This window comes from Homo sapiens, chromosome 2 (genome assembly GCF_000001405.40).
Source record: "Homo sapiens chromosome 2, GRCh38.p14 Primary Assembly".
NCBI lineage: Eukaryota > Metazoa > Chordata > Mammalia > Primates > Hominidae > Homo > Homo sapiens.
The window spans coordinates 237,601,237-237,620,156 of NC_000002.12; the positions used below are offsets into that span (position 1 = coordinate 237,601,237).

Sequence of the window (18,920 nt, forward strand, 5' to 3'; positions counted from 1 at the left end):
TATCCCTTGAAGACTATCCCCCAGCCATCCTCTCACCCTGCACAGAGGTCACCAGGTCTATGGTAAAGAGCCAGGAAAGAGGTCGGGCAGTCCTGGGTTCAAACCCAAGGTCCAGTGCTGACTGGCAGTGAGTGTGGTCATGTAAGCTCATCTCTAAACCTCAGTCTCCCCCTTTCAGAGAGGAAATAATATTCCTTGGTTTTTAAGGTTATCGTGGAGGCTAGAGCCTGGCACGTGACAGGTGAGTGTGTGATAAACTGTGTTCCTTACCTTTGCAGTCACTGTCAATCGTCATCGTTTAATGAGTGAGCATTTCAGAGGCCCTTCAGTCTGCACGGGACTCTGTGGTTGCTGGAGCCCTGGACCTGGGGCTCACCTTCCCCGACTGACTGAGGCCCGACTACCGTCCTCTAATCTGGGTTGCTATTTCCTGCCCTTCTGGACTCTGGACATAACTTCCTTTGCCTAATACATAGAGCAGTCCTGTTCCTCCTAGCCTTGGCAGCTATCACTGGCCACCTATCTTAACCAGCTTGGCTTTGGCCAGCTACCCCCAGGATCCCTCCTCTGGGCGACTCCCCAAGCTGCTCAAGTCCTGCCTGGCCCAAGACTTGGTAGCCCTACACTCAGCTGACGTGCTGCCACTCTCCACTGCCCCCTGACTAGCATGAAAGCCACTGCGGAACCTGCAACATTCAAGCTATCAAAGGGGTCACATTCCAAAGCACTGCTTTGTCTCTCCACTGAGGTGATAAGCTGCAGGACTTAACTGGAGGTGAGGTGCACGGGGGTGGGAGCCGCAGACCAGGCCCTGCAGTTTACATGGGCAAGTCCTTCACGGCCCCTCGGGGCCTCCATTGATGGATTCCTCCAGGACCACACTGATGGTCCCTTCCAATCCTGCTGGTCGCCTAAGTGCAGAGCATGCTCCCCAGACAAGGGTTCTCTTCTCCTTTCCTTCAAGAACAGGACCTGCGTCTTGAGGTCTTCTGTCTTTCTCAAGATATCTAAATAGTAGCTGATGAACCACATCACATTTGTTGACTTAAAATCAAGGAATATGGAAAGGTATCATTTATTAAGTGCTTATTACACTCCCTGCCCAGTGTTTATGTAAATTATAAAATGACCAACTCTGATGTTCATATATATATATATGTATATATTTTTTCATCCACAGTTTCTGGCTCATAGCTCCACTTAGCCCTTGTTACAGTTTTCTGTTATAATGTTGGATGTGCTAATCCTGGGCGCCACCCTCAGGTAACAGAACCTCTCTGACCCTCTCGCCTTCCTTTTTCCTGCCACAAGGCAGGACTCTAACCTTCCCTCACTTTTCTGACTGTAGGTCTTAACAGCCTCCCCTGGGAGGGTCCCGCCTCATACCATGCGGGAAGGAATTCTGTCAACATGAAGCTTCCATAAAAACCCAAGAGGACTGGGTTCAGGGAGCCGTGGAGAGCTGACTTTGTGGAGGTTCCCAGAGGATGATGTGTCCAGGGAGGGCTTGGAAGCTCCCTGCCCCTTCCCCCATACTTCGCACTACGCATCTCTTCATCTGTGTCCTTTGTAACATCCTTTACAATAAGCCAGCAAACATAGTTATTTCCCTGAGTTCAGTGAGCTGCTCCAGCAAATTGATCAACACAGAGAGGAGGTCATGGGAACCCCAACTTGAAGCCCATCCGTCAGAAGTTCGAGAGGCCCAGGCTTATGACTGGTGTCTGGGGTGGGTGGCAGTCGTGGGGACTGAGCCCCCCACCCAGTGGGATCTGGTGCTATCTCCAGGTGGACAGTGTTAGAATTGAACACCCAGCTGGGGCCCACTGCTTAATGTGTGGGGAAACCCCCACGCCTTTTATTGCAGACGTCTTCTGTGTTGATGATTGTGGAGGTGGTGGTGGAGTGAAAGAGGAAAAACGCAGTTTGAGAGAGTTTTTCCATACACACCAACAAACCAGGGAGGTGGATATTGTTATCCCCATTTTACGGATGAGAAAATTGAGGCTCAGAGAGATTAAGTACATTCCCCAGAGTTACGTAGCTATCGAACAAGGATTCAAATCCACAACTTTCTTAACCTACCCCACAGAGGCAAATGCAAAAACCAAACCATAAGAGGGAGGAAATAATGACCTCTGCAAATGAAAGCCACCTGTATATCAAGAAAAGCATATGGATAAAACAAAATGCTGGGACAATAACTGCCACAAACATGTGGCTTTAAAATCCTTGATTTATAAATCAGCAAAAAATGGACAAAGGCACAGCCAGACAATTCGCTGAAAGTGAGTCCCAGGTGTGCAGGCAGCGCTAGCAGGAGCGTTCGGCCTCACCAGCACGTGCAGGAGCCGGTCAGCATGGAGGTCAGATTGGCAAAGCCTCATCACATCCAAGCTTTGGCAAAACAGTAGAGACTGTCCACCAACCGTTGCTGAGACTGTCTGGCAGTGCAGTTTTCTGAGAGGGCAAACCTGGGATGCGTAGCAATGAATTCAACAACACAGCCTTTGACTCGGCAACTGCACGTCAAGAAACGGAACTGTCAGGAAGCATCTAGAACCCAGAGGGCAGAATCCAGGAAATGACTCTGTTCCGGAGTTCATCTGTTGCTCTGGGCTACACTTGATGCTACGGTAAAATCACTCACCCTCACATCCAGCCAGCGGCAACACACACAATGAAAACCGTTCTGAAAAAGCAAAGCTGAGAGCCCCGGGAAGATGCAGGAGGTGTGGGTGGGGGTTGGAATTCAGCTCGGTTTAGATAAACAACTGAGACCCGAGATGTTGATCTCTAAGGATTATCTCAGCCCCGACCTATTTCAACTTCCTTGTCTTCTTTCTTTGGCTCCTTACTTTTCATTGAAATTCCCTGACTGGCCCACTAAGAACCAGGCTCTGGCCAGCACGGTGGCTCACTCTGTAAGCCCAGCACTTTGGGAGCCTGAGGCGAGAGGATGGCTTGAGGCCAGGGGCTCGAGACCAGCCTGGGCAACATAGTGAGATCCCCCCAATCAATTTTTTTTTTTTTTTAAAAACACCCTTTTTTTTTTTTAATTAGCTGCCAGCTACTTGGCAGGCTAAGGGAGGAGGATCCTTTAAGCCCAGGAGTTCAAAGTTGCAGTGAGCTATGATCGTGCCACTGCACTCCAGCCTGGGCAACAGAGCAAGACTCTGTCTATAAAATATATGTATATATATTATAGAAATTTTTAAAAGAACCAAGCTCTGGAATGGACTTGCTCCAGCACCTGGCCCATCCCAAGCCTGGAGGCTCACTGGAGGAGGCCACATGGGGTCCACTCCATGTGCAGCAAGCACACCGAGGCCACAGGCTGCTGGGCCCACCTCCCCACCTCCCCACCGTGGGCGAAGTACGTGGAGGATGTGAGGGAGGTTCTCAAGTGAGATGCTCACTCACAGTTATCCCCAAAGGACGGTCCAAACATGTGGAAAACATGTCTCCCGTAGAAAATGGAGAAACGGCCGGGTGTGGTGGCTCACGACTGTAATCCCAGCTTTGGGAGGCCGAGGCGGGTGGATCACCTGAGGTCAGGAGTTCAAGACCAGCCTGGCCAATATGGCGAAACCCCGTATCTACTAAAAATACAAAAATTAGCCAGGTGTGGTGGCACGTGCCTGTAATCCCACCTACTCAGGAGGCTGAGGCAGGAGAATCGCTTGAACCCAGGAGGCCAAGGTTGCGGTGAGCCGAGATCATGCCACTGCACTCCAGCCTGTGTGACAGAGTTAGACTCCGTCTCAAAAGAAAAAAAAGAAAGAAAGCGGAGAAACAATGCTGCCCCCAGCCCTGTGTGTGACTTTGCCAGGGCTACTGTAACCACCTATCACAACCTGAGTGGCCTAAACAATAGGAACTGATTGTCTCGCAGTCCTGGAGGCCAGAAGCCCGAGAAGAGGCCAGAAGGTGGCAGGGCAGCTCCTCCTGGAAGCTCTGCAGAGAATCTGTTCCATACTCCCGGTGCTTCGCTGGGAATTCTTGGTGTTCCTTGGCTTGTGGAAGCATCACTATCGCCGCCTTCATGTCACATGGCATGTGTGTGTCTGCGTGTCTAAATTTACCCTTTTCATAAGGACATGGTCATATTGGTTTAGGGCCTATCCTGGTGACCTCACCATAGAGACCTTCTCCCCAGGTAAGATTACATTCTGAGGTATGGAGGTTAGGACTTGGACATATGAATTCTAGAGAGAGACAGTTCAACCCATAATGCCTTAGATGTCATAAATATTCATGACAAGGTCAGCCTTTTGTGGAGATTTGTCTCTGTGAAAAGCAAATTGGTTGGCCAGGCACAGTAGCTCAGGTCTGTAATCACAGGACTTTGGGAGGCCAAGGGGGAAAGATCACTTGAGCCTAGGAGTTTGAAACCAGCCTGGGCAACATAGACAGATCTTGTCTCTACAAAAAAAAAAAAATACAAAAATTAGCTGGGATTAGTAGCGTGTGCCTATAGTCCCAGCTACTTGGGAGGCAGAGGTGGGAAGATTGCTTGTGCCTGGGAGGTCGCGGCTGCAGTGAACCGAGATCATGCCACCGCACTCCAGCCTGGGTGCTAGTGCGAGACCCTGTCTCTTAAAAGAAAAGCAAATGGGCCAGGCGCGGTGGCTCAGGCCTGTAATCCCAGCATTTTGGGAGTCTGAGGCAAGTGGATCACGAGGTCAGGGGTTTGAGACCAGCCTGCCCAACATGGTGAAACCGTGTCTCTACTAAAAATACAAAAACTAGCCGGGCGTGGTGGCACATGCCTGTAATCCCAGCTACTCGGGAGGCAGAGGCAGGAGAATCACCTAAACCCAGGAATTGGAGGTTGCAGTGAGCCGAGATCACACCATTGTACTCCAGCCTGGGTGACAGGGCAAGACTCTGTCTCAAAAAAAAAGAAGCAAATTGGGCATTTATGCCAGGCCCTGTCCTTTGGGAGTTCCCAAGCCATATAGGAAGCTTTTATACTCTAGGAGCTTGTGCTGGGTTGAAGAGTGTCCCCGCAAAATTAATGTCCACCTGGCACCTTAGAATGTGTCTTAACATGAGGTCATCCTGGATTCAGGTGAGCCCTAAATCCAATGACTGGCTTCCTCATGAGAAAAGAGAGATTTGGACACAGAAACGCACACAGAGGGAAGAGGCCATGGGAAGGCAAAGGCAGAAATTGGGTGATGGTCCACAGGCCAAGCAGCGCCCAGGACCACCAGGAGCACCAGAGGCCAGAGAGAGGCCAGGAATGAATTCACCCTCGGAGCCTCCAGAAGGAGCCACGTCTGCTGACACCTTGATTCAGTCTTCTGGCCTGCAAGACTTGAGCCAATACATTTCTGTTATAAGCCACACAGCTTGTGGTAAGGTCTTATGGCAGCCCAGGAAACTAACACAGAACGTAACATAACTAACTCCCTTTGGGAGGTTATTAGCCTAACACAGAGCATCTGACCCAGCCTGGGTCCTTCTGAGCACAGGCCCCGAGGGAATGCAGGGGTGACATGCCTGTGCCGCCGGCCCTGCATTAGGCTCCCCCACCCCAGCTGTCAGGCCTCTGAGCCCAAGCTAAGCCATCATATCCCCTGTGACCTGCACATACACATCCAGATGGCCAGTTCCTGCCTTAACTGATGACATTCCACCACAAAAGAAGTGAAAATGGCCTGTTCCTGCCTTAACTGATGACATTGCCTTGTGAAATTCTTTCTCCTGGCTCATCCTGGCTCAAAAGCTCCCCTACTGAGCACCTTGTGACCCCCTCCTCTGCCCACCAGAGAACAACCCCCCTTTGACTGTAATTTTCCTTTACCTACCCAAATCCTATAAAATGGCCCCACCCCTATCTCCCTTTGCTGACTCTCTTTTCAGACTCAGCCCACCTGCACCCATGTGAAATAAACAGCTTTATTGCTCACACAAAGCCTGTTTGGTGGTCTCTTCACATGGACGCTCATGAAATTTGGTGCCGTGACTCGGATCGGGGGACCTCCCTTGGGAGATCAATCCCCTGTCCTCCTGTTCTTTGCTCCATGAAAAATATCCACCTACGACCTCAGGTCCTCAGACCCACCAGCCCAAGGAACATCTCACCAATTTTAAATCGGGTAAGCGGCCTCTTCTTACTCTCTTCTCCAACCTCTCTCACTATCCCTCAACTACTTTCTCCTTTCCGCTCTTCAATCTCTCCCTTCTCTTAATTTCAATTCCTTTCATTTTCTGGTAGAGACAAAGGAGATGTGTTTTATCTGTGGACCCAAAACTCTGGCGCCAGTCACGGACTAGGGAAGGCAGACTTCCCTTGGTGTTTAATCATTGCAGGGATGCCTCTCTGATTATTCACCCAGGTTTCAGAGGTGTCAGACCACACAGGGATGCCTGCCTTGGTCCTTCACCCTTAGTGGCAAGTCCCGCTTTTCTGGGGGAGGGGCAAGTACCCCAACCCCTTCTCTCTGGGTCTCTACCCCTTCTCCGCCTTTCTGGGGGGCAAGAAACACCCAACCCCTTCTCCTTCCCCCTTAGTGGCAAGTCCCGCTTTTCTGGGGGAAGGGCAAGTACCCCAACCTCATATCTCTGCGTTCCGATCCCTTATTTCTGCACCCTGACCTCTTATATCTCTGTGCCCCGATCCCCTTTTCCATGCCCCAACCTCTTATATCTCTGCGCCCCAATCCCTTATTTCCGTGCCCCAACCTCTTATATCTCTGCGCCCCAATCCCTTATTTCTGTGCCCCAACCTCTTATATCTCTGTGCCCCGATCCCTTATTTCCATGCCCCAACCTCTTATATCTCTGCACCCCGATTCCTTATTTCCGTGCCCCAACCTCTTATATCTCTGTACCCCGATCCCTTGTTTCCATGCCCCAACCTTGTATCTCTGCACCCCGACCCCTTCTCTGCTTTTCTGGAGGGCAAGAACCCCCCACCCCTTCTCCGTGTCTCTACTCTTTTCTCTGGACTTGCCTCCTTCACTATGGGCAAGCTTCCACCCTCCATTCCTCCTTCTTCTCCCTTAGCCTGTGTTCTTAAGAACTTAAAACCTCTTCAACTCTCACCTGACCTAAAATCTAAGCATCTTATTTTCTTCTACAATGCCACCTGACCTCAATACAAACTCAACAGCAGTTCCAAATAGCCGGAAAATGGCACTTTCAATTTTTCCATCCTACAAGATCTAAATAATTCTTGTCATAAAATGGGCAAATGATCTGAGGTGCCTGACGTCCAGGCATTCTTTTACACATCAGTCCCTTCCTAGTCTCTGTACCCAGTGCAACTCATCCCAAATCTTCCTTCTTTCCCTCCCACCTGTCCCCCTCAGTCCCAACCCCAAGCGTCACTGAGTCTTTCTAATCTTCCTTTTCTACAGACCCATCTGACCTCTCCCTCCTCCCCAGGCTGCTCCTCGCCAGGCCGAGCTAGGTCCCAATTCTTCCTCAGCCTCTGCTCCTCCACCCTATAATCCTTTTATCACCTCACCTGCTCACACCCGGTCTGGCTTACAGTTTCATTCCGTGACTAGCCCTCCCCCACCTGCCCAGCAATTTACTCTTAAAAGGGTGGCTGGAGCTAAAGCCATAGTCAAGGTTAATGCTCCTTTTTCTTTATCCCAAATCAGAAGCGTTTAGGCTCTTTTTCATCAAATATAAAAACCCAGCCCAGTTCATGACTCGTTTCGCAGCAACCCTGAGACACTTTACAGCCCTAGACCCTAAAAGGTCAAAAGGCCATCTTATTCTCAAAATACATTTTATTACCCAATCTGCTCCCAACATTAAATAAAACTCCAAAAATTAAATTCCGTCCCTCAAACCCCACAACAGGATTTAATTAACCTCACCTTCAAGGTATACAATAATAGAAAAAAGTTGCAATTCCTTGCCTCCACTGTGAGACAAACCCCAGCCACATCTCCAGCGCACAAGAACTTCCAAACGCCTGAACCGCAGCGGCCAGGCGTTCCTCCAGAACCTCCTCCCCCAGGAACTTGCTACAAGTGCCAGAAATCTGGCCACCAGGCCAAGGAATGCCTGCAGCCCAGGATTCCTCCTAAGCCGCGTCCCATCTTTGCGGGACCCCAGTGGAAATTGGACTGTCCAACTCACCTGGCAGCCACTCCCAGAGCCCCTGGAACTCTGGCCCAAGGCTCTCTGACTCCCTCCCAGATCTTCTTGGCTTAGCGGCTGAAGACTGACGCTGCCCGATCGCCTCGGAAGCCCCCTAGACCATCACGGACGCCGAGCTTCGGGTAACTCTCACAGTGGAGGGTAAGTCTGTCCCCTTCTTAATCAATACCGAGGCTACCCACTCCACATTACCTTCTTTTCAAGGGCCTGTTTCCCTTGCCTCCATAACTGTTGTGGGTATTGACGGCCAGGCTTCTAAACCTCTTAAAACTCCCCAACTCTGGTGCCAATTAGACAATACTCTTTTAAGCACTCCTTTTTAGTTATCCCCACCTGCCCAGTTCCCTTATTGGCCGAGACACTTTAAATTATCTGCTTCCCTGACTATTCCTGGATTACAGCTGCATCTCATTGCTGCCCTTCTTCCCAATCCAAAGCCTCCTTTGCGTCCTCCTCTTGTATTTCCCCACCTTAACCCTCAAGTATAAGATACCTCTACTCCCTCCTTGGCGACCGATCATGCACCCCTTACCATCTCATTAAAACCTAATCATCCTTACCCCACTCAGTGCCAATATCCCATCCCACAGCATGCTTTGAAAGGATTAAAGCCCGTTATCACTTGCCTGCTACAGCATGGCCTTTTAAAGCCTATAAACTCTCCTTACAATTCCCCCATTTTACCTGTCCTAAAACCAGACAAGCCTTACAAGTTAGTTCAGGATCTATGCCTTATCAACAAAATTGTTTTGACTATCCCCCCCATGGTGCCAAACCCATATACTCTCCTATCCTCAATACCTCCCTCCACAGTCCATTATTCTGTTCTGGATCTCAAACATGCTTTCTTTACTATTCCTTTGCACCCATCATCCCAGCCTCTCTTTGCTTTCACTTGGACTGACCCTGACACCCATCAGACTCAGCAAATTACCTGGGCTGTACTGCCACAAAGCTTCACAGACAGCCCCCATTACTTCAGTCAAGCCTAATTTCTTCCTTACCTGTTACCTATCTCAGCATAATTTCATAAAAACACACGTGCTCTCCCTGCTGATCATGTCTGATTAATCTCCCAAACCTCAATCCCTTCTACAGAACAACAACTCCTTTCCTTCCTAGGCATGGTTAGTGCAGTCAGAATTCTTACACAAGAGCCAGGACAGCACCCTGTAGCCTTTCTGTCCAAACAACTCGACCTTACTGTTTTAGCCTAGCCATCATGTCTCCGTGCAGCGGCTGTTGCCGCCCTAATAGTTTTAGAGGCCCTCAAAATCACAAACTATGCTCAATTTACTCTCTACATTCCTCATAACTTCCAAAATCTATTTTCTTCCTCATACCTGACGCATATACTTTCTGCTCCCTGGCTCCTTCAGCTGTACTCACTCTTTGTTAAGTCCCACAATTACCATTGTTCCTGGCCCGGACTTCAATCCAGCCTCCCACATTATTCCTGATACCACACCTGACCCCCATGACTGTATCTCTCTGATCCAACTGACATTCACCCCATTTCCCCATATTTCCTTCTTTCCTGTTCCTCACCCTGATCACGCTTGATTTATTGATGGCAGTTCCACCAGGCCTAATCGCCACACACCAGCAAAGGCAGGCTATGCTATAGTACAAGCCACTAGCCCGCCTCTTAGAACCTCTCATTTCCTTTCCATCATGGAAATCTATCCTCAAGGAAATAACTTCTCAGTGTTCCATCTGCTATTCTACTACTCCTCAGGGATTATTCAGGCCCCCTCCCTTCCCTACACATCAAGCTCGAGGATTTGCCCCACCCAGGACTGGCAAATTAGCTTTACTCAACGTGCCCCGAGTCAGATAACTAAAATACCTCTTAGTCTAGGTAGACACTTTCACTGGATAGGTACAGGCCTTTCCTACAGGGTCTGAGAAGGCCACCGCAGTCATTTCTTCCTTTCTGTCAGACATAATTCCTCAGTTTAGCCTTCCCACCTCTATACAGTCTGATAACAGACCAGCCTTTATTAGTCAAATCAGCCAAGCAGTTTTTCAGGCTCTTAGTATTCAGTGAAACCTTTATATCCCTTACGGTCCTCCGTCTTCAGGAAAAGTAGAACGGACTAAAGGTCTTTTAAAAACACACCTCACCAAGCTCAGCCACCAACTTAAAAAGGACTGGACAATACTTTTACCACTTTCCCTTCTCAGAAGTCAGACCTGTCCTCAGAATGCTGCAAGGTACAGCCCATTTGAGCTCCTGTATAGACGCTCTTTTTATTAGGACCCAGTCTCATTCCAGACACCAGACCAACTTAGACTGTGCCCCAAAAAAACTTGTCATCCCTACTATCTTCTGTCTAGTCATACTCCTATTTACCGTTCTCGACTACTCATACATGCCCTGCTCTTGTTTACACTGCCGGTTTACACTGTTTCTCCAAGCCATCACAGCTGATATCTCCTGGTGCTATCCTCAAACTGCCACTCTTAACTCTTGAAGTAAATAAATAGTCTTTGCTGGCAGGACTATGCTGAATCTCCTTAGGCACTCTCTAATTAGATGTCCTGGGTCCTCCCAATTCTTAGACCTTTTATACCTGTTTTTCTCCGTTATTCCATTTAGTTTTTCAATTCATACAAAACCGTATCCAGGCCATCACCAATAATTCTACACGACAAATGTTTCTTCTAACATCCCCACAATCTCACCCCTTACCACAAGACCTCCCTTCAGCTTAATCTCTCCCACTCTAGGTTCCCACGCCGCCCCTAATCCCGCTCGAAGCAGCCCTGAGAAACATCGCCCATTATCTCTCCATACCAGCCCCCAAAATTTTCACCGTCCCAACACTTTACCACTATTTCGTTTTATTTTTCTTATTAATATAAGAAGACAGGAATGTCAGGCCTCTGAGCCCAAGCTAAGCCATCATATCCCCTGTGACCTGCACATACACATCCAGATGGCCAGTTCCTGCCTTAACTGATGACATTCCACCACAAAAGAAGTGAAAATGGCCTGTTCCTGCCTTAACTGATGACATTGTCTTGTGAAATTCCTTCTCCTGGCTCATCCTGGCTCAAAAGCTCCCCTACTGAGCACCTTGTGATCCCCCACTCTGCCCGCCAGAGAACAACCCCCCTTTGACTGTAATTTTCCTTTACCTACCCAAATCCTATAAAACGGCCCCACCCCTATCTCCCTTTGCTGACTCTCTTTTCAGACTCAGCCCACCTGCACCCATGTGAAATAAACAGCTTTATTGCTCACACAAAGCCTGTTTGGTGGTCTCTTCACATGGACGCTCATGAAACCAGCCACAGCTGAAGAGTACCTGGCACCAAGTGTAACCAACATCGATAATGATCACAACACAAATGCACGTTCACCGTGTGTTGGGTGTTGTGCTCCAAGTGACCAACTGGACCACCATATTTTCTGGCTAAGCATTTGGCCATGATGGCAGAAATCAATAAGACAGACAGAGAAAAGGAACAGGAGTGGGGTTGTGACAGCGGTGACACTCTAGAGAGGAGGTGGATTATAATTTGGTACCTAGAACTGAATTGCTTCACGCTGGCTCCCATGAGACCTAGGCTATGGCTAGAATTCCCCAACAGGAAAGTCCCCATCACTCCTTGCAGCTGAAGCTGCAGCTGGGCAGAAGGGGGCTGAGCTGACACTGCAAACCTGCATGGGTGGGCTTTGGGCTCCAAGCAGGGGCCTTTGCCTGGGGATCACTCCCCAACCACCACCTGGTCTCCCAGCCCTGCGGGCAGAATGGGCTCCAGGGTAGCTCTCAGAACAACAGAGCCCTCTCCTCTCCCCTCTGCAGATGGAACCCCCGGCATCTGCTCCTAGTAGAGGCCAGTCTGGGCCTGACCTGGCATTCCACCCTGCAGATAGCGAGGTAAGTTTGGCAAGCACAGAGAGAGGCACCAGACTTGTCCTGATGGTCTTGGGTTTGGAGCTCACTGCCCTCCTTGCTGGAATAAGCTGCTGGGTGCAGTTTACTCAACCTCTCAGGGGCTCAGTTCATCTATCTGTAAAAGTCAGATAAATCTGGGCCTAACCTATGGGAGGGTATGAAAATGAACCTCCTGAGATCAGGTATGCACAGAGCTTGGCACTAGTAACTCAACGGTGTACTTTTATTTTTTTAAGACGGGGTCTCACTTTGTTGCCCAGGCTAGTCTTGAACTCCTGGAGTCAAGCAATCCTCCTGCCTCGGCCTCCCAAAGTGCTGGGGTTATAGGTGTGAGCCATTGTGCCCAGTCTCAACAGTGTATTTTAAAAAGTTCTTTGGTTGCAATTTATCAAACCAACTCAAGGTAACTAGAGTAAAGGAGATTTTATTAGATGTCTGCTGAGGTTGATCATGGAAACTGGGGACAGCTGGGCCTGGAATCAGTAAAGGGAGAGCTGTCATCCCTGTGATGGGGATAATCTCTGTGCCTTTTGTCTGGCTGCTCTGCTTCTCTGTGCTCACAGCAGTCCACAGCTCAGGTGTTGAGAGGGGACCAGCCCTACCAGGCTGTCAGTCACTCCACCCCATCCCAAATTCACATGGGGTCATCAAGGGCTGGGAAGCTTGGGGAGGTGGGTGGAGGAGCAGGAAGCACATGAACAAACATGGTGGAAGGAGGAAGCTCTGAGCAAAGGGGAGTTCTCAGCAGAACAGAGACCCCACAAAGGGATGGCTGTCACTTTAATAATCATCATTAAACCATGCATTGCCTGCAAACTCCAAAGCATGACGACTGACCTGGTCATATACTGTTTCAAGTTATCAGAACAAATGTACCTAATAGGCATTCTGATTCCAGGGGGGAAGGAAAGACGCCAGTGGTTGTTCAGAAAGCCACAGGAAGCACCAAAGAGGGGGCCCGGCTCAGTGGTTGCGTCACTCTGTTGCAGGCTTACAACGGGAAAGGCCCTGGGCCCATGTGTTGTCAGACAGACCCTGTACTCTGTTATCTCCATAACTGGCCTCTGTGAATGCTCAACCTGTATGATGTGTTTCCAAGATAAGGGGTCAAGTGGGTTTGGAATGACCATTCCTGGCATTCCTTCCTAGAGAGTCAATGCACAATTGCATATCAAAGACCTCCAGCAGTCTCACAGTGCTGAGACCTATTTACCTTTGTTAACTGCAGCATTCCCCAAAGGTACTGGAGCTGAAATGCATTTTTCATAAAACACCTGTTATCACGCCCTGGAACTAGCGCTGCCTGACACTAGCGCCTCCTCTGGGCTGTCTCTGACGGCACATCCTGTCCTGAGACCCTGTGCTGCCAAGAAACCCCATTCCGCCCTCAGGCTCTGTTCTGAGAGCAGCCCTCCTCCCATTGCATTGGGAACCTCACCCAGGCCTCCTCCTCTGCCCTTGGTAATCCCGACAGTCCACTCTGCTCAGCTTCATCACAGCATCTAACCCCCAGTTGCTCTTCTGTACACTCTGAATTTCCCATTTAAATTTATTCCCAGGACTAAACCAAACTCCCAGGAGCACTGTGACCAGCACAGGATGGAGTCAACGCACCCCTTCTCTTGCATAGTAGATCTCATCCTTCATTAAGTACTTATCAGAAACCTTCCCAAGCTCCCAGAACTGTGCCAGAAACTGTGGGGCCACACAGAAATAGAAAGCAATCCCTGTCCTCAGAGAGCTTATTGTCTATCGAGGAGCCCAAAGAGAGCTTCGCAAGTTAAATAACAATATAAAAATTAAATTATTCACATGGGCACTAGACGTGTTGTAGTAACAGTATATGGTAAGCCCCTAAGACATAAGGAGCTGTTAGAATCATCAGACGCGCTCAGCCCCCAACCCCAACCCCCAGGAATGCTATGGATGCATTGGAAGAAAATACCAATTTAGAAACCAGGCAAGTGGGAGCAGAAACCTGGTCTGCTTCCATTTATCTTTTTTCCTATCCAGGTTCACTGGGGAGGATTCTTCTCCCTAAATACTGAGGCCTGAGTAGGAAATTATCCTCCCAGAACATAGCAGGGTCCGGAAGAAGACATTTTCCAAGGAGGCAGAACTGGGGGAGAAGCTGGAGTGAGACTGCACAGAGGAAGGTTTTTTATTCCAAGGATGACAATTGTGGGAGCCCTGATAACCACAAGATATGCTATAACGGGGCAAGAGAAAAGAGGGCCTTTCAAGTATCCTGGAGGCGACTTGCCTTCACCTTGAGTTCAGCCAAAGAAGAATGCACCACTTCTCCTATTCCCAAGGGTCACTCCGTGAATATTGGTTGAATTTGTGAGTGAGCGAGTGAATGGGTGGGTAAATGAAAAATACAAAAACAAAAAGGTCAGGCTTCCCACCTGGAGCACACAGGGACCAGCACAGGACTCAATGGCTATGTGAATGCAGGAACTGCCACATCCCTTTAGGAAATGAAACAATTTGAAACAATCTGAGTATACTGTTTCAATGGCTTTTCCTAAAATCCATTCATCAACCAGCAGGAAAAGACTAAAGCAAGTTCTCACCCGAGATTGGGAAGCAGAAAGTTAATGAGCTACCTGACATTCTCTCTCCTCTCTCTCTCTCTCTCTGACACGCACACAACACACACACACACACACACATGAATATCTGTCTCCTTTCTGAGCCAGACACTGGCACATCTTAGTCTTTGTCCCGTTATCTGGGCTTGCTCAGGAGGGCTGTCCTCTTTCTCGGGATCAGGCCTTGACCCATCCCACCTCCTCTCCAGTCCAAGGCCAGAGGCCCTCCTTCTTTTTGGGAGGGGTATCTTATCTCTGTTCCATCAGGGCAGGCAGCAGTGTTGGTCAACAGCTAAGGTCTCTTGCTGAGCAAGGATCCTGAGTCCCCTTCTTAGAGTGACCAGACAGGAGTTTCCAAAGAGGATGCAGAGACAGTTTAGAACTTCCACGCTTACTATAGTGAAACCATGACCCGTGAGGACCAGGTGAAATGGAGGCTGCAGGGTCCGGCTTCCTCTGCCTGGACTCTCCTCTGCTACAGCCCGTCCAATATCCATCCTTACAGCAAGTGCTCCTTCCTGATTTTCCCAGCGAGATGCAGTCATTGCACAGGATTGGTTATCTACACACTCATCACTCCTTTGACATCTTGAGACCCACTGAAGGCAGGGACTGTGCCTCACTCATCCCAGTATCTCTCCTTCCACACACTGCACACAGTAGGGGCCCTATTGTGCACTTACAGCGGCACTGAGCTTTGTGCCAATGGACCACACAGGGGTGATTTCATTTCATCCTTTCGATGGCCCTGTCTTGCATTGTGATAACATTTCAGTGTAGGAAAAATCTTCCATAGGAAGAAAACCCACATCATCTTTGTTCTGCTTGAGGCCAGCCTGGATTTTATAAACTGTAGCTAATTTTATGAACTGTTCTTTGTCTGGGGATGTTGATAGAAAGAATTCTACTTGAGCACAGGATGCAAATGAGTAAGTGGCAAACTATTTTCCTATTATGTTCCTAAAATAGACTGGAAGCTGGCACAGAACGCTTCAGATGGGCCTGTCCCCTTGAGCGTCGTTTATGGCTGAGACTAAAATAAAGCAAAGCCCAGGCCTCTCCAGAAGGTGTTCAATTGTTGGGTGCTATCTCAATGTAGAGAAATCTCAAGTGATTTTCTCATGAAAAAGTCTTCAGAGCATTATTCAGCACAACAAAAAAATTTGATGAAATGTTTGTACTATTTTAAAACTGGCAAGTCAAGGACATAGAGTGCTTTTAAAAGCCACTGCCAAAAATATGGTAAGCGTCTTCCTATAACATTGAAAGAGATCTGAAACATCTGTGCTACATTTCCGTTCTGGAGGACTGCGGTTGAGTGATTGATAAGGATGGTGTTTTGCTCAAAAATACAGTGATTCCTCAAGGGGAAAAGCTGCTTAGCTACATCGGAATGGTGGAGGAACATCGTGATTCCATACTCAACATGCCCCACGGGATGTAGGGATGTGTGTGAACTGTCGAAGGCTGCAGGAGCCATCTTATAGCGAAAATCAGCTGTGTGACAGTTCATGGAAAAACAGCAGCAAAATCCACACACAGCCTGGCATACCCTGGTTCTGTCTTCTGGGTTACAGACACTCAGTCAGTGACCAGGAGTGCAGAACAGCCCCTAACCACCACGGGAAATGGGATTAACTGTGATTAACTGGCAGAGGGGCAGGGGAGACGCGAGCTTCATTATCCTTTTCACAAATGAGACAGTAAAGCCAGCCCGGGACTGTGGGTGAGTCTCCTCCTTATCGTCGAGTCCTGATGATACTCACCTGTGGTTCTTCTGTAGGAGAACCGAATGCCATGGGTATCTGAGGCCCTGTGAAAATGGAGAAGGGGCAAATAGATGGAACTACTCCAACCCCCAAGCTCTTCTAGAAAACGGGAGTCAGCTGTGCAAAACACTAAATGTGCCTCCAGAGCACCTGTTTATCCAGCATCTATTGTCTGGGTCTCCACAGCCTGGAGGAAGTGATGAGTCAGGCAGCCCCCTACATTATGGACCTTTCAACATTTATTACAATCAAACTGTGAGTTCAATATGATACCTCAAAGGCAAACACCCTCTTCTGTTGCTTGCTTGTGATTTCACTGGTTTGGTTGTTTTCCCACCATGATTTTTTTAAATACTCTTTTTTTAATTGAAGTATGATTTAGACATAATAAGAGGCATAAATGTTAAGTGTGCATTTGCACATGCAACTTTTGGCAAACGTGCACATGCACACCATAGAGGGGTCCAGTTTTAAAACTAAAGTCCCATCCTTCGGGAAGCCCCTTACACCCAGATAAACTGCATGGCTGGTCACCCCACATAACCACAACCTCAATGAAGATACAGAATATTTCCATCACCCCCAAAATTTCCTTGTGCCCCTTTGTAGCCAACCCACCCACCCACCCTCCAAAGGTCACCCCTCTTCTAAACTCTATCATCATAGCATAGGTTTTTCCTGCTCTAGAATATCATAGAAATGGAATCATTCCATATATATGGTTTTGTGAGTGGCTTCTTTCACTCAACACGTTTTTGAGATTCATTCACATTGCTGCCTGCATTAGGGGTTCATGTTATTGCCACATGGTATGGCATCCGTGATTTAGGATAATTTGCTTATCCCCTCACCTGTTAATGGACATTGGATTGTTTTCAGTTTTTGGATATTGTGAATCAGATTTCCTTGTACATGTCTGTTTATGGGCATGTTTTCACTTCTCTTGGGTAAATACTTAGGAGTTGAATGACTGGATCATATGGTAGGTTATGTTTCCAAGAAACTCCCAAACAGCATTCCAGGCTGGCTGTGCAATGTTCCACTCCCACCAGCAATGCATGAGTGTTCCAGCTGCCCCGCATCCTCACCAACATTTGGTCTTGTCAGTCTTTTTAACTGTAGACACTCTAGTGGGTGTGAAGTTATATCTTACTGTGGTTCTATTTTGCATATCCCTGATGATAAAGATGGTGAGCACCTTTCTTTATATCTCCTTGGCCATTTGTATATCTCCTTATATGCGGTGTCTGCTCAAGTCTCCAAGTCCTTTGCCCACTGTCTAAATGACTTGTTCATCTTTTTCTTGTTGACTTTCAGGAAGTCTTTATATATTCTGGAGACAAGTGCTTGATCACATCTACATATTGTGGAGATTTTCTCCTGGTTTGTGGCTTGTGTTTTCATTTTCATAATGGAGTTTTTTAAAAGGCAGAATTCTAAAATTGTGATGAAATTCAAGTTATCAATTTTGTATTTTCTGGCCGGGCACAGTGGCTCATGCCTGTAATCCCAGCACTTTGGGAGGCCGAGGCGGACGGATCACCTGAGGTCAGGAGTTTGACACCAGCCTGACTAACATGGTGAAGCTCCGTCTCTAAAAATACAAAAGTTAGCTGGGCGTGGTAGCGGCCCCCTGTAATCCCAGCTACTTGGGAGGCTGAGGCAGGAGAATCACTTGAACCCGGGAGGTGGAGGTTGCAGTGAGCCTAGACCATGCCATTGCACTCCAGCCTGGGCAATAGAGTGAGACTCCGTCTTGGAGAAAAATAAATAAATAAATAGTTGTATTTTATGACTGTGCTTTTTGTTAATTGTCCAAGAAATCTTTGCCTACCTCAAGGTTCCAAAGATATTCTCCTACATATTCTTCCAGAAACTTAATAATTTTTGCTTTTAAGTTTAGGTCTAAACTTAACTCTATACACAATAAGTATCCTGATTTACTTGTTGTGTGCAGTGTGGAGTAAGCATCAAAGTTCATTTTTGTCATATAATGGTCCTGGCTTTATTTACTAAAAAAGACTTTTCTTTCTCCACAGAATTATTTTGGTGCCTTGTCAAAATTCAGTTAACCACTGTGGGATCCTGAATCCCTGGAACCTGTTCTTTTAAAAAATATCGTTTCTTGGCCGGGCGCGGTGGCTCACACCTGTAATCCCAGCACTTTGGGAGGCCAAGGCGGGCGGATCACCTGAGGTCAGGAGTTCAAGACCAGCCTGGCCAACATGGGGAAACCCCGTCTCTACTAAAAATACAAAAAATTAGTTGGGCATGGTGGCGGGCGCCTGTAATCCCAGCTACTCGAGAGGCGGAGGCAGGAGAATCTCTTGAACCCAGGAGGCGGAGGTTGCAGTGAGCCGAGATCACACCATGGCACTCCAGCCTGGGCAACAAGAGTGAAACTTCGTCTCAAAAAAATATATATATATTGTTTCTCCTGATTTCAACTATTCAGAATTGTGAAAGTTTTTATTTATTTATTTATTTGTTTATTTTTTGAGATGGAGTCTCGCTCTGTCACC

At 48.1% G+C, this 18,920-nt stretch overlaps 6 annotated features.

The window, feature by feature from the left end:
- Window positions 2,857-3,360: an enhancer, noted in NCBI's record as "H3K27ac-H3K4me1 hESC enhancer chr2:238512736-238513239 (GRCh37/hg19 assembly coordinates)". NCBI's record gives its function as "activates a minimal SCP1, AML or CMV promoter by ChIP-STARR-seq in naive H9 embryonic stem cells {active_cell/tissue: H9 hESC(naive)}" and the evidence as "EXISTENCE:reporter gene assay evidence [ECO:0000049][PMID:30033119]".
- Window positions 3,012-3,192: a silencer, noted in NCBI's record as "fragment chr2:238512891-238513071 (GRCh37/hg19 assembly coordinates)". NCBI's record gives its function as "represses an EF-1alpha promoter that drives an FKBP-Casp9 reporter gene in an ReSE screen in K562 erythroleukemia cells {active_cell/tissue: K562}" and the evidence as "EXISTENCE:reporter gene assay evidence [ECO:0000049][PMID:32094911]".
- Window positions 12,455-13,246: an enhancer, noted in NCBI's record as "OCT4-NANOG-H3K27ac hESC enhancer chr2:238522334-238523125 (GRCh37/hg19 assembly coordinates)". NCBI's record gives its function as "activates a minimal SCP1, AML or CMV promoter by ChIP-STARR-seq in naive H9 embryonic stem cells {active_cell/tissue: H9 hESC(naive)}" and the evidence as "EXISTENCE:reporter gene assay evidence [ECO:0000049][PMID:30033119]".
- Window positions 12,455-16,688: a biological region, named in NCBI's record as "VISTA enhancer hs1945".
- Window positions 12,500-16,688: an enhancer, noted in NCBI's record as "VISTA enhancer hs1945". NCBI's record gives its function as "enhancer in: heart[4/9]" and the evidence as "EXISTENCE:transgenic organism evidence [ECO:0001131][PMID:17130149]".
- Window positions 13,247-14,037: an enhancer, noted in NCBI's record as "OCT4-NANOG-H3K27ac hESC enhancer chr2:238523126-238523916 (GRCh37/hg19 assembly coordinates)". NCBI's record gives its function as "activates a minimal SCP1, AML or CMV promoter by ChIP-STARR-seq in primed H9 embryonic stem cells {active_cell/tissue: H9 hESC(primed)}" and the evidence as "EXISTENCE:reporter gene assay evidence [ECO:0000049][PMID:30033119]".